This window comes from Homo sapiens, chromosome 5 (assembly GCF_000001405.40).
Source record: "Homo sapiens chromosome 5, GRCh38.p14 Primary Assembly".
NCBI lineage: Eukaryota > Metazoa > Chordata > Mammalia > Primates > Hominidae > Homo > Homo sapiens.
The window spans coordinates 173,724,414-173,738,308 of record NC_000005.10 but is presented as its reverse complement, the minus strand read 5'-3'; the positions used below and the strand labels follow the sequence as shown (position 1 = coordinate 173,738,308).

The 13,895-nt window shown below is 48.8% G+C and overlaps 1 long non-coding RNA gene across 1 annotated transcript in view, besides 3 other annotated features; it reads left to right on the top strand.

Moving 5' to 3' along the window:
• Positions 1–13,895, top strand: part of LINC01484 (long intergenic non-protein coding RNA 1484) — a 38,611-nt gene that overhangs the window by 7,901 nt on the left and 16,815 nt on the right. The window lies entirely within an intron of this gene.
• Positions 1,014–1,173: an enhancer, noted in NCBI's record as "active region_23661". NCBI's record gives its function as "activates an Ori minimal core promoter by ATAC-STARR-seq in GM12878 lymphoblastoid cells {active_cell/tissue: GM12878}" and the evidence as "EXISTENCE:reporter gene assay evidence [ECO:0000049][PMID:35858748]".
• Positions 3,771–3,830: a silencer, noted in NCBI's record as "silent region_16641". NCBI's record gives its function as "represses an Ori minimal core promoter by ATAC-STARR-seq in GM12878 lymphoblastoid cells {active_cell/tissue: GM12878}" and the evidence as "EXISTENCE:reporter gene assay evidence [ECO:0000049][PMID:35858748]".
• Positions 4,261–4,370: an enhancer, noted in NCBI's record as "active region_23660". NCBI's record gives its function as "activates an Ori minimal core promoter by ATAC-STARR-seq in GM12878 lymphoblastoid cells {active_cell/tissue: GM12878}" and the evidence as "EXISTENCE:reporter gene assay evidence [ECO:0000049][PMID:35858748]".

Below are 13,895 nucleotides of genomic sequence, written 5' to 3'. Positions count from 1 at the left end.
TATGCATTGTCTCACTCCCTCTTCACAATATCCCCATGGGGTAGCTACCGATATAGTCTGTTTGGTACTAAGGAAATTGGGGCCCAGAGAGGGTAAGAAAAGTGCTCTGTCTACTGAGTGAGAAAGTGTCACAGCTGAGATTTGAACCCAGGTCATCAACTCCTGACTCCCGAGCCATGCTCTTAACTACTTCCCAATGGCTCCTGCTACAGGAATTTGACCCTGTCCATTCACTGGACATAGGCATGCCCAGTTTCTGGACATCGACTCTGGCCCTGTGCTGGCAACTGAGGGTACAGCCAAAAATTGGACCCTCCAGAGCCCATGGAGGGGCTCCAAGGTCTCAGCACAAGACCCAGCTGTCGAGATGCACGTGAGAAAACCCATAGCCTATTGGCCTGGTACCACACACAGAGGCCTGTTCCCACTTAGGTTCAGAGAGTTTGGCCCACTCATCCATCCATCCGTCCATCCATCCATCCATCCACTTACTTATTCATAGCTCACTCATTCACTTAACAAACATTCACTCAACCCCTGTGGCCCACTCTGTACTAGGCTCTGTGCTAAGACTTGGGGATAAACCTAACTAAGAGAGACCGGGTCATTGACTCACAACTGAGGGTATAAAGGAGAGTCAGGCAGTAAACACAGAAGAAGATGAGATGGTTCAGGGTGGGGTGAGTGCTGGGAGGTCAATAAAATCAGGCGGAGAAGTAGAGAGTGACTGAAGAGAGACCAGGAATGAGAGAGGCAATTTAGGTGGGGTGGTTAAAGGAGGTCCCTAAGGAGATGACTTACAATGTGGCCAGAATGAGGAGAAAGGGCCAGCCCAGGGGAGAAGCGAGCACAAAGCCTGCACGGTTCAGAAGAATTGGAGTGTGCTAGGAGGTGATAGAAGGCCTCTTTGGACTGGGAGCAAGTGGCCTCTGTGATGCTGGGGTGTGGTCAGGTCCAGACCTGCACACCCTGTATCTACAACTGATGCTCACTCCAGCAGCCAGTGCCTGGCTCCTTCCGCAGGGGCCTCTCTTGGAAACATTCCAGCTCATAGCCGTGACTGTGGTTGAGGCCCTTCCTTCTCCAGGGTGGGGCTGGCAGGTGTCACCAGTCTCTGCCGTCATGGGTCAAGGAGTGGGGCCTTCCTGAAAGGGCGTCAGCCGTGACTGACCTTAGCTTGGCCTCTACATTCTTCAGACCGTGGGTTTCTTCCCCCAGCCCCAGGGGTGGGGGCTTTCTGAAGCCTTCTGTGCTGCAGCAGAGAGAGGCTAAGAGACTGGCCTGAGGTCGCTCAGCAGGTCCGGGGGACAGATGGGTCTAGAATTCCTCCTTTTTTGTCTCCAGTTTCTTTCCATGATCCTCCATCCTAGGTGGTCTCTCTCTAGGCAGAATATAGCCTTCCTTATTCCTGAACGTTTAACCCAGCCTGGGCTTGAATAAAGCAATATGTGGGGAAAAGGGCACAGTTTCCTTGGACCTGTGCTTTTCTTATATCAGTGTTTAATGTTCCCTATAATCATCCATTTGTCCATTTATTTGTTTCCAGCAGTCATATATTCATTCAACTCAAGAATCACAAAACATCCACGCTGTGAATTACCAGGAAGAACAAGTAGAGGCCTTATCTTTCATGATCTCACAGCCTAGCCAAGGGCTCAGGGTACATCAAGGATTGCCGGTGCAGGGTGTGGGGGCAGGGCGGAGGGCAGTGGGAACAGTTACAATAGTTACCATGCAATGACTGGATTGCATCAAAAGCAAAAGCAAATTATGTTGGAGTACAGATGACAAAGTAACCAGCTGCTCGGGTAGTCAGGGAAGGCTTCACAGAGGAAGGGACATTTGAGCTGGGTCTTGGAGAATCAATAGGAGTTTGCTAAACAAATCATTCAGGATATTGATATTCTGGGTAGAGGGACCTGCATGGGCAAAAGCACAGCCAAATGCTGGAAAGGAAACAGGATGGAACCCGGCTAAAGAAGGTAACAGCTGGGCTGGGCGCGGTGGCTCACGCCTGTAATCCCAACACTTTGGGAGGCCGAGGCGGGCGGATCATGAGGTCAGGAGATCGAGACCACGGTGAAACCCCGTCTCTACTAAAAATACAAAAAATTAGCTGGGCGCAGTGGCGGGCGCCTGTAGTCCCAGCTACTCGGGAGGCTGAGGCAGGAGAATGGCGTGAACCCGGAAGGCGGAGCTTGCAGTGAGCGGAGATCGCACCACAGCACTCCCACCTGGGCGACAGAACGAGACTCCGTCTCAAAAAAAAAAAAAAAAAGAAGATAACAGCTATCATGTATTATTTGGAGTGATTAGTGTATCCAAGTGTTTTGCATCTACTTAATCATCATAACAAGCTTCTGAAGTGTCATTTGCGCCATTTTTACAGGTAGAGAATTTGAGGCCCAGAACAGGGAAGTCACTTGTCAAAGGTCACACAGCTAGTAAGAGGCAAAGCCAGGATTCAGGCCAGGTCTGCCTGACACTTGTATCCTTCACTCCTCCCTCTCAGGCTGAGATGTCAGGGTGAGGACAGTTATGTCAGGAAACCCCAAGAAGACCTAACTTGTTTCAGAATCTGCAGTGCAGTGGCCTGGCAGCCTAGCAGAAGACGCTGCAGAGTTCTCTTTCTGGATCCCTTCCTTGCCCTCCCTGCCGGGACTAAGTCTGTGTTCTGTCACCTGCCTCTCCATCCATCCATGTCCTGCAGGTCTTGTCTCAGCTGACCCCAAGTGAAAGAGGGTCACAGGAAGAACAGACATCACCTCATTTCCAAGGATGGCTCTGTGCACGGAGATGAGGTCTCGCCAGCAAATAAAGGGGCCTCTGCAGAGGCAGAAGAGCCAGGGGTGCTGACAGGCACATTCTCCAAAGCCAAGCGACAGTCTAATTACAGGCCGGCTCTGTAATGAGAAGCGCAGGCTGGTTGGGGCAATCCGGCACGGCTCATGGCTCACGGCTCTGAGGCAAAGAGGGGCAGTCAGCATCCAGGCCGGCAGGAGGGCCCTGGGGAGAGACCACCAGCTCAGCTGTCTCCAGACCACACACGTGCTGACTCTGGAGAGGGTGAAGGGGAGATGAGAGAGAACCAGGCTGAATACTGGTCGTGGACCAGGTGCTAAGCTGGGACTTTTACCTCCATCTCTCATGTAATCCCCCAACAGCCAGGAGAAACAGGTGTAATTTGCTGTTTCGTAGAGGAGAAAATGGAGGCTCCCAGAAGTGAAGCAAATTTCTCAAAGCTCATGCACCTGAGAATGGTGACGTGGGCTTCCGACTAAGGTGTGAGGGAAACTAAAAGCCTGTTTTCTTCCCGGGGGAAATAAAGGAAGAGGCGGTTCCATTCTGGAGCTGAGAGAGACCATGAGGAACAGGAAGAAACAGGCTTGGCTGTGGCCCAACCAGGTGCGCGCCCCCACCACCAAAAAAAATATGTGAGTGAGACAGGAACGTGAGGCATCATTTTGGATATTAAAGCACAGAGTGACATCAGAAACCTGAGTAACCTGGGAACATCAGGGGTACAAATTTGGGCTCCTGACTTTACCTTTCTTTCTTTGCGCACCTTTGCGTTTCTTTGGGGTATAAATCCCTAGGGAAGTGAACCGCCTCTAGGCCCCCATGCCAGGCTATGTCTCAGATCACCTCCCTCTGACAATCCTCGGAAAACTTCTCCCCCACACACCTGCCTCCCCAGAACATCCAGGTGGTTCTTTGGGAAGAGAGCCATGCTTTTTCAGCTGGGCCTCGGGTCCTTATTTGGAAGGGATTGCGGTGGGCAGGGGCTTGGATGCAGCTGTGTGGGCCGAGGAGCTATGACAAAAGTCCTTGAGCAACTGCTGGGGCCCTCATGGCACAGAAAAAGCTGCCACCACAGCAGGGTAAGCATTCTCAGCCCCTCTCAGCGTCACCTGCTTCTCTTCTGATTCACCTCGGGGCCTGCCCGGGTGTGTGGATGCAGCTGCCTCTTCCGCGCTCATGTCACGACCTCCACTCCAAGCTCTGGCTGGAATCTGGGTCTCCCCACCCTGTGGGACCCCTCGTATCATGTTTTGGCCGTGCTTGGGAACTCAGGAGGGGGTTTCCTGCTTGCAAAATGCCCACGCATAACAGGACAGCCCTGTGTCTGATACAGCTGAGCAAAGTCTGGGACACGACAGAACAGGTGTCACATCCTGGCTTTGCCACCAGAGCCTCAGTTTATGTAAATTGGGGAAGATCTCCACCCTCACACTTGTTCACAGCAGAGCTGTGGAGCCGTGTAAGACCTCAGGCCCTGCCGTGATGCTTCTTCCCTCCCAAGCCCGGCTCCGGCGCCTGCCAGCAGTGCCGCCTTGGCACCACCTTCTTGGCCCTCGCCAAGCCTCAGCTTCCTCATTTATGAAGTGGGCATAGTGGTCCTATCTATTTCACAGGATGCTGGTAAAGATCAAACGAGCTGATCCAAGTGTCCCCTGAAGTGCTACACCAGCCATTTAGCAACCTCGCCATGCGCCACCTGCATGCAGCCTGGAGTGGCAAAGGCCCTGAAGACGCTGAAGCTGTTGACCTTTTCCTCTTTTTCAGGAACATGGTCCCTGGGAGTCATTTTCTTTCATCATCCACAAATAAGAAAAGACGTTGTTACATTAGCTCCAAGATAGCTCTTTCCACAATGGGAAATTTCTGCTGACAGTCACTAAGGAAACACAGGCCCACCGGGTGGGGCTCTCGGCCAGCATCTTGAAGGCGGGTACAGGAAGCAACTCACTAGTGACTTTGAGTGTCACCTAGCAGGTCACCACTGCCTCAGGAGTGGCTGGCAAGGGCAGCGCAGGCCTCCACCTCCACGGAGGGGGCTCCATCCATTGTACCAGCAGGTTGGCTGCAGGATGGCACCCCTGGGAAAACAGGGTAGTCTTGAGGGCCAGGAGAAGGTTGGCATTAGAGGAGACTGGGATGGGCCCCAGATATTTTGTTCTCAGAGGCTCCGACTCCATCTGGTCAGCTCCATGGCCACTCTTGCCTCACTGTGGAGGCAGAAGCAGCTGGCATTGCCATGGTAACCAGGCAGCACCAACTTCCAACTCACCTCTGAATTTTCTATGACAACGAACATGTTTGCAAAGTGAGAGCCATGAGCAGAAAATTATGCCAGGGAGCTGTGGGGAGCTGATAAGGAAGGGTGGTCAAATTTCCTACCTCCTTGATTAACGAAGAATGCAGAAAAAAGGCACAGGACTACCCCAAATTCAGGCCTGAAAGAAACGTTAGCTACACTTCCCCGTGTTGGGTTAGAGAGTACAGTAACTACTGTTCCCTTTACACATAAATGCTATAAGCAACTGTGACCTCTCAGGCTCTGGTGCAGATGCTGGGACGAGGAGCTAAGGAGATGAAAAGACAGACGGGACCTGGTTATCAGTGAGATGAAAGTCCCTGGAACCCAGATCGGAGAGGGCTTCATGGGAAGGAGGGCTTCACAGATTTAAAAAATTCAGGCTGGGCGCAGTGGCTCACGCCTGTAATCCCAGCACTTTGGGAAGCCGAGGTGGGTGGATCACCTGAGGTCAGGAGTTTGAGACCAGCCTGGCCAACATGCTGAAACCCCAGTCTACGAAAAATACAAAAATTAGCTGGGTGTGGTGGTGCGTGCCTGTAATCCCAGCTACTCTGGAGGCAGAGGTTGCAGTAAGCCAAGATTGCACCACTGCACTCCAACCTGGGCAACAAGAGGGAAACTCCATCTCAAAAAAAAAAGAAAAGAAAAGAAAAGAAAATTCAGATTCCCAGAAGATGCAAAGGGCATTCCCTATGTGCCTGGCAACAGGAAGGTAATTCCACATCTATCCCACACCCATCTCATGATGGGCCTGGTCTCTCCTCACCACTGTAGAGTCAGCCACATAATTATTTTAACATCTCTAGTATCCACATTAATAAAAGTAGGCAGAAACAGGTACAATGAACTTTAATCATACATTTTATTTCATATAATGCATTCAAAATATTATTTCAACATGGAATCAATATAAAAGTGATTGCTGTGATTTTTTTCTTTTTTGAGACATGGTCTTACTCAGTCACCTAGGCTAGAGTGCAGTGGTGCGATCTCAGCTTACTGTAGCCTCTACATGAGGATCAGGTGATCCTCCCACCTCAGCCTCCTGAGTAGCTAAGACCATAGGTGCCTGCCACCACACCCAGTTAATTTTTGTATTTTTTGTAGAGACAGGGTTTCAACATATTGCCCAGGCTGGTCTCAAACTCCTGGGCTCAAGCGATCCAACAGCCTTAGCCTCCCAAAGTGCTGGGATTACAGGTGTGAGCCACCACGCCCGGCCTACTGTGATGTTTTATGTTCCTTTTCCTTTCTAAGTCTCAGAAATCTGCTGTGTCTTTTACCTTGATAGCACCTCTCAAAATGGACTTGCACATTTCAAGTGCTCCATGGCCACATGTGGCCAGTGGCTACCATACTAGATGTTGTGGTTCTGGATGCTGAAGGTGGAGGTGTGGCTACGTGATATACTTTGCCTTGGGTTGGAGAGCTTGTCCACTTCAGAGCTGAGAATCCAAGCCAGGACTGTGCCATGGGAAGGGGTCCAAGCAGCAGGTGTGGTCCTGGGAACAGGGAATCTGCTGCAACAGCTCTGCTCAACCTCTGCGGACATTTTGGGCCAGGTCATTCTTTGTTGTGGGCGGCTGTCCTGTGCATTGTAGAATGTTTACAGCATCCTCAGTCCCTGCGCACTAAAGGCCATTAGCAGTCCCTGAATTGTGACAGCCAAAAATGTCCCCAGACGTTGCCAATCTGCACTGCAGATTCTGGAGTTGCCAGGCCCCATAATTGCGTGAGCCGATTCCTTAAGGCAAATCTCTTTCGAATACATGCACCCCCTATCAGCTCTATTTCTCTGGAGAGCCCTGATTAATACAACAGATTTTCATTAGCTACTTTTTGAAGAAGTAGGAGAAAGATAAGTTAGGTTTTCTGTAAGTGCCAGGAAGAAACACAGTGTTTAAAGAAGGAAAGTCACAAGCGGAAACAGCATTTGGTAAGGAATCATCTCATGATCAGATACTGGAGATGCTGGAATGCCGGCCAGGGTGGGAGACAGCTTTAAGTAAGACCAGGTTGAGGCATGGAGTGGGCCGGGGCAGGTCCCAGCTGGACTGGGTGAGGTGACGGGCCTGTGGGGAGCTGAAGGTCTGAATGTTAGTGCAGTGGTAGCTAGGACCAGCTGGACTTGACTGCAGATGTGTGGGAGGGCAGGAGATGGAAGCAGAGTCAGTCAGCTCAGCAGCTAGGCTGGGCCCTGGGGAATATGAGCAGGAGCAGGTGACAGGAGAGATGAGAAGGTTCTGACAAACAATGATCAATTCTTAATGGGGACCCTGCTTGATTGTACTTAGTTGCTGGGCACCTGAGCAAGAATAGGCCGGGTGCACTGAGGAACGTGGCACCTGAAATAAAGCAGGCCGGTGGCGGGGGCGGAGGGTCCCGGAAGCTCTGAGGCAGATGAGCTCTCCGAGGAGAAGAGCAGAGAGGCCTGCGCTGGATGCCTGGGGCACCGCCCCTGGGAAGCAAAGGATAAGAAGCCAGTGAGGGAAAAGAAGAGGCTTGACCGGCAGTGCCAGGAAGGCCCCACCAAGCAGCAGAGGCTCTTCCTTGAGACCCTTCCTCTGCTCAGGAGCCTACGGGGTGCAGTAAACTGAGTCTGGGCTCCCGCGTACCCCACCATGTGACCATGTGACCTTGGTTGATCGCCTCCCTAAGCTGCAGCTTTTCATCTGCAACTTGTAGGTAGTAATTGCCACCCCGCAGTTACTGCAAAGATCGGATGAGGTTATAATTGCTAACCCTGAGGCACTTAATAGGTGCTTAATAAACCTCTTGGCCTGTTGGTAGCTGTCTGGTCATAGCAGGTGTCCCATCCTGACCTGTGTGCAAGGAAGAGCATGCTGGCCTCTCCTGCTCTAAAACACTATTGTCAGTCACTCCCTGGGGGCAGAGCGTATGCCCTAACTCTAACAGCCCTCTCGGGAGGGACTGGTGTTATCATCCCTACTTGACAGATGAGGAAACTGAGGCTCAGAGACTTACCCAAATGTCCACAGCTGGTAAGTGCTACAGCTGAGTTTCCAATCCAGGCTGCTGGACTTGACAGCCTGCGTGGCTCTGCTCAGCCACCCTATGCTGTTCTGCCACTAGACTCTGAGCTCCTTGAGGACAGGGATGGCCTCACTCAGAATCTCACCCTGCGCCAGACATAGCAGTCAGGACAAAAGCTCTGCAGAGAATTCTGGCAGTGCATTGACACAGAGCAGGACCAGGCTCCTCCTCTGGGCCTTCAATGCCTCTTCTTTTCATGGCAGAGGCTCTGGGGGTCAAACAGTCATTATGCCCAGAAAAACAATGATCAGGATGGTTTGATAGAGGGGAGGCAGAGAGCACTGCGGTGGATAGATCATAGGCTCTGGAGACAGATGCTGGGGTCTGAATGTTGAACCCATCACTTCCTAATTAGGGGGCTTGGAGCAAATTACCTTACCTCTGTGTGCCCAGTTAGCTCAGATATAGAACAGATCATGAAAATGCCAACAGCCAGGACTGTTGTGCAGGTTAAATGGGATCATATAAGTAAAGCCTGCTCCACAGTGAGTGCTGAATAAATGTGATTCATTTGGAGATCAAGTAGGGAAGACTAAAATGAAAGATAACACTTGCCACTTATCAGACATCTGAGATGTTTCCAGTAATTTCTCTGCATTCATTCCAATAACCCTCACCACCTGCCCGGGAGGCAGGGGTTATTATACCATGTGGCTGACAGATGGGGAAGTTAGGGTCAGAGATGGCATGAAGTGTCCGAGGTCACACAACTGAATAACAAAGCCAAGACCACGTTTTGTTTTTTGCCTGAGAATGCCACGCCCACTCCTGCCCTCAACAGCTCCTGGAATGCTAAGGAGGAACACAGACCTGCTGGCCAGGCTACATGGTTGGGAACTCACGATTGGAGGGAGAGGAGGAGGGTAGGGGAGTAGAAACTCTCAAGGGTTGGACCTGGGAGAAGGGTTTTTGAAGTGCTCTATGTGTGCCATTCCTATCCCGGTTTCACAGGTGAAGAATGTGAGGCTCGGCCACTTGGAGGGCCCTGCCCAAGGTCACAGAGCCAGTAGGCGCCCAGTGGGGATTCAAGTGAGATCTGACTCTGAACTGCCTGAACGTGAGGTCTCACCTCCGCCCAGGGCACCCCGGAGTAGGAGTGGCAGGTGGATGGGGAGTGGGCTGGGGAGGTTACTGTCTTCATCCACAAGCATCCAAGGAAGTGCCTAGAGCATTCAGAGGACAAGGATGCTGCTAAGTGGATTTCTGGATCCCACGTGGATTGTGATAAGCATTAGCTCCCTCCCAGGCGAGGACAGGGGCTCCGGACAGAGCCAGGATACACTAAGCCCATGGGCCTGTGGAGAGACCCCGCACGCTGATTGGAGCTGCACTCTTCCGTTTCAGTTCTAACCACACTGTTTTCTGCCTGGCATGCCAGTTCCTAGAAGAAGGAGCTCCATCTCTGTCTGTATCCCTGGCAATTCCTACACCGACATGTAGTATTTGAACTCACATCACGTCCTCTGCTCCACACACCCACCTTTTCACTCACTATCCCCACACCCTTTGTTTTTCCTCAAAGAACATGTCCCTACTTGACACCAGGTGTTTATTTACCCATTAGTTGGTTGTCTACGTCTATCCCCTATGCGAGAATGGGAGCTGCAGGCTGAGAGACAGCCTGTCTGTTTTATATGTGGAATTCACCTAGGAGAATTCCTGGCACATGGGAGGGGCTCCATAAATACCTGCCGAGTAAATGAATGAATAGTAGGTGCTCAGTATGGTTTTCCAAAATCAGTGATTGAGCAGACACTGTATGTTAGGCAGTTGCACATGTTACTGCATTTAATTCTCATGCTCAGCTTTGAAGGGAAGAACTATCTGTCTTTTACAGATCGGATGAGAGAAGAGAAGTGACTTCCCCATGGTCACATGTCTAGTTGGCAATGGAAGTGGGATTCAAGTCCAGTTCCACCTGACTTCAAAGCTTATTCCTGTTTGACTTCACCCTGCTGCCTCTAAGATAAAGGGGAGATCAGGAGAGCAGAATGGTTGCTTCCCCAGAGGAACATGTGGTCTCATTTTCTGCTTAGGGATAGCTCACAGGATTCATGAAGTGGTCACCAGAGGATAAGGACCAACCAGGTTAACGTGAAGAAAACACCCAGCTGCAGCTGTTTAATGAGCAACTCGAAGCTGTGGATAAGGTAACTGACCTCATTGGAAGGCCTAGGAACAGCCCTGCTGCTTTCAGCTCTTGGTTTTACAGGGGCTCGGAGAGGTGAGGTGACTTGCCCAAGGCCACACAGCTAGCTCCTAGAAGAGCTATGTGGAGATCTGATCTAGCTCTGCTTGGCTCCAAAGCCTGTTTTCTCCCAAGCCGTTTCATGGATGCATTGACAGGTCCCAGGGCCAAATTGCAAAGCCATCTCACAGGCGCCGGGTCTCATCCCACTACCACAGGATTCTGCTGTCAGATCCTTGGCAGCGAATGTCTTTCTTTTTTTCTTTCGACTTTTATTTTAGATTCAGGTTGTACATGTGCAAGTTTGTTACCTGGGAATATTGTGTGAAGCTGAGGTTGGGGGTACAAATGATCCTGTCACCCAGGTACTAAGCATAGTATACCCAACAGTTAGTTTTTCAGCCCTTGCTCCTCTCCGTCCCTCCCCACTGTAGTAGTCCCCAGTGCATAGTGTTCCCATCTTTATGACCATGAGTAGTCAATGTTTAGCTCCCACTTATAAGTGAGAACATGTGGTATTTGTTTTTCTGCTCCTGTGTTATTTTGCCTACAATAATGGCCTCCAGCTTCATCCACGTTGCTGCAGAGAACATAATTTTGTTCTTTTCTATGGCTGCATAGTATTCCATGGTATAGATGTAACATATTTTCTTTATCCAGTCCACTGTTTATGGCCACTTAGATTGATTTCTTGTCTTTGCTATTGTGAATAGCGCTGGGATGAACAGGGGAGTGCATGTGCCTTTTTGGTAGGTCTATTTGTTTTCCTTTGGCTATTTACCCACTAATGGAGTTGCTGGGTCAAATGGTAATTCTGTCTCAAGCTCTTTGAGAAATCTCCAAACTGCTTTCTACAGTGGCTGAACCAACTTATGTTCCTACCAGCAGCGTACAAGCATTCCATTTGCACCACAGCCTCATCAGTATCTGTGGTTTTTTGACATTTTAGTAATAGCCCTTCAGACTGGTGTGAAATGGTGACTCGCTGTAGTTTTGATTTGCATTTTTTTTTATGATTAATGATGTGCGGCATTTTTTCATAGTTTTTTTTTTTTTCGGCCACTTGTATGTCTTCTTATGGGAAATGTCTGTCCATGTCTTTTGCCCACTTTTTGATATTTGGTTTTTGCTTGTTGAATGGTTTAAGCCCATTGTCAAATGGCTAGTTTGCAAGTATTTCCCCCATTCTATAGGCTGTCTCTTCACTTTGTTGATACTTTCTTTTACTGTGCAGAAGCTCCTTAGGTTAATTAGGTTCCATTTGTCAATTGTTGTTTTTGTTGCAATAAATTATTAATTTATTATCATAAATTATTTCCCAAGGCTGATGTCCAGAATGGTGTTTTCCAGGTTTTTTTCTAGGATTCTTTTTTTTTTTTTTTTTTTTTTTTTGAGACGGTCTCACTCTGTCTTCCAGGCTGGAGTGAAGTGGTGCAATCTCAGCTCACTTCAACATCTACCTCCCAGGCTCATGATCCTTCCACTTCAGCCTCCTGAGTAGCTGGGACCACAGGCATGCACCATCACACTTGGCTAAGTTTTTGGTTTTTTTATAGAGGCAGGGTCTCCCTGTGTTGCCCAGGTTGGTCTCAAACTCCTGAACTCAAGTGATCCTCCTGCCTTGGCCTTCCAAAGTACTAGGATTACAGATGTGAGCCACTATGCCCAGTGTTTCTAGGGTTCTTATAGTTTGAGGTCTAACATTTAAATTTTTAATCTACTCTGAGTTAATTGTTGTATATGGTGAAAGGTAGGGATCCAGTTTAATTCTCCTGCATATGGCTAGCCAGCTATCCCAGCATCACTTATTGAATAGGAAGTCCTTTCCCCATTGCTTATTTTTGTCAGCTTTGTCAAAGATCAGATGACTGTAGGTGTGAGGCTTTATTTCTGGTCTATGTGCCTGTTTTTGTACCAGTACCATGCTGTTTTAGTTTCTGTAGCTTTATAGTATAGTTTGAGGTCAAATAATGTGATGTCCCTGGCTTTGTTCTTTTCACTTAGGATTGTTTTGGCTTTGGCTATTTGAGCTCTTTTTTGGTTTCACATGAATTTTAGAATAGATTTTTTCTAATTCTGTGAATAATATGTTGGTAGTTTGATAGGAATAACATTGAATCTGTAGATTGCTTTGGGCAGAATGGCCATTTCAATGACATTGATTCTTCCCATCTATGAACATGGAATATTTTTCCATTTGTCTGTGTTATCTGTGATTTCTTTCAGCAGTTTTGTAGTTCTCCTTGTAGAGATATTTTACCTCCTTGGTTAGCTGTATTCTCAGGTAGTGTGTGTGTGTGTGTCTGTATGTGTGTGTGTGTGTGTGTGTGTGTGTACTGTAAGTGAAATAAATGCTATTGCATTCTTGATTTGGCTCTGAGCTTGATCATTATTGGTGTATAGAAATGCTACTGATTTTTGTGCATAGATTTTATATTCTGAAACTTTACTGAACTCATTTAACAGTTCCAGGAGCCTTTTGCTGGAGTCTTTAGGGTTTTCTAGTTATAGAATCATATGGCCTGCAAAGAGAGATAGACTGACTTCCCCTTTTCCCATTTGGATTCCTATTATTTCTTTCTCCTGCCTGATTGCTCCTTGGCATCTAATTTCCACTTCAGTGTGGATCTTCTCAGCCTTCTTTGAGTTTTAATAAGTGTCTCTAGAAACTGAAACACCTTGTGGGTCTGATCAAATAAACCTCTGAAGAAAATTCCAACATTTGGGCCCAAAGATTGGGTGCAGTTGATAACCATGACCCTGTCTTCCCAGCATCACTTCCTTTTCCTGGAACTTACTCTGCCCCCACTCCAAACACTACCTCTGGCTGAAGACACCATGTCTCATATGATCCTGCTCCCTCATCACTATTGATTGGTCCAATACAAACTGAGCCAATCATGGTATTTCCTACCTCGAGGACAGTTTTGATTGGTCCAATTCAGACCAATCAGAGACTTCCTGTGATACTGGCATATAAGAAATGCACACATTTGTTCTTCCTCCTCAGTTTCTGGCACAGAGCTCCCAAAACCCTTGTAATTTTCCAAGTGATAGGGGTGACAGGAGCATCTTTTGTTATAATATTTAGTCTTAGTCCCTGGTTCCTGACACATGAGCTTCTAAGACCTTTGGAATCTCCAAAGCAGTAAGAGTATCTTTTTGTATGCTAATGAGCTGGGATCTCTAAGGAGCCTCAGGATGGGGCTGGTCACCAGAAAGACCAAGGCAGGACTGGAGGGTTGGAACTTTCAGCCCCACCTTCCAACCTCGGGGAAGGGGAGAGAGGCTGGAGACTGAGCTAATCACCATTGGTCAATAATTTAATCAAGCATGCCTACCTAATGAAACCTCCATAAAATCCCTGGATGATGGGGCTCAGAGAGCTTCCAGGTCAGTGAACACATGGGGACACTGGGTGGAAGGGGTGCACCTGGAGAGGGCATAAAGCTCTGTGCCCCTTCCCTCCTACCTTGTCCTACATATGCCTTCCTTCCAGCTGTTCCTGAGTTGTACCCTTTATAGTAACCCGGTAATAATAAGCAAAGTGCC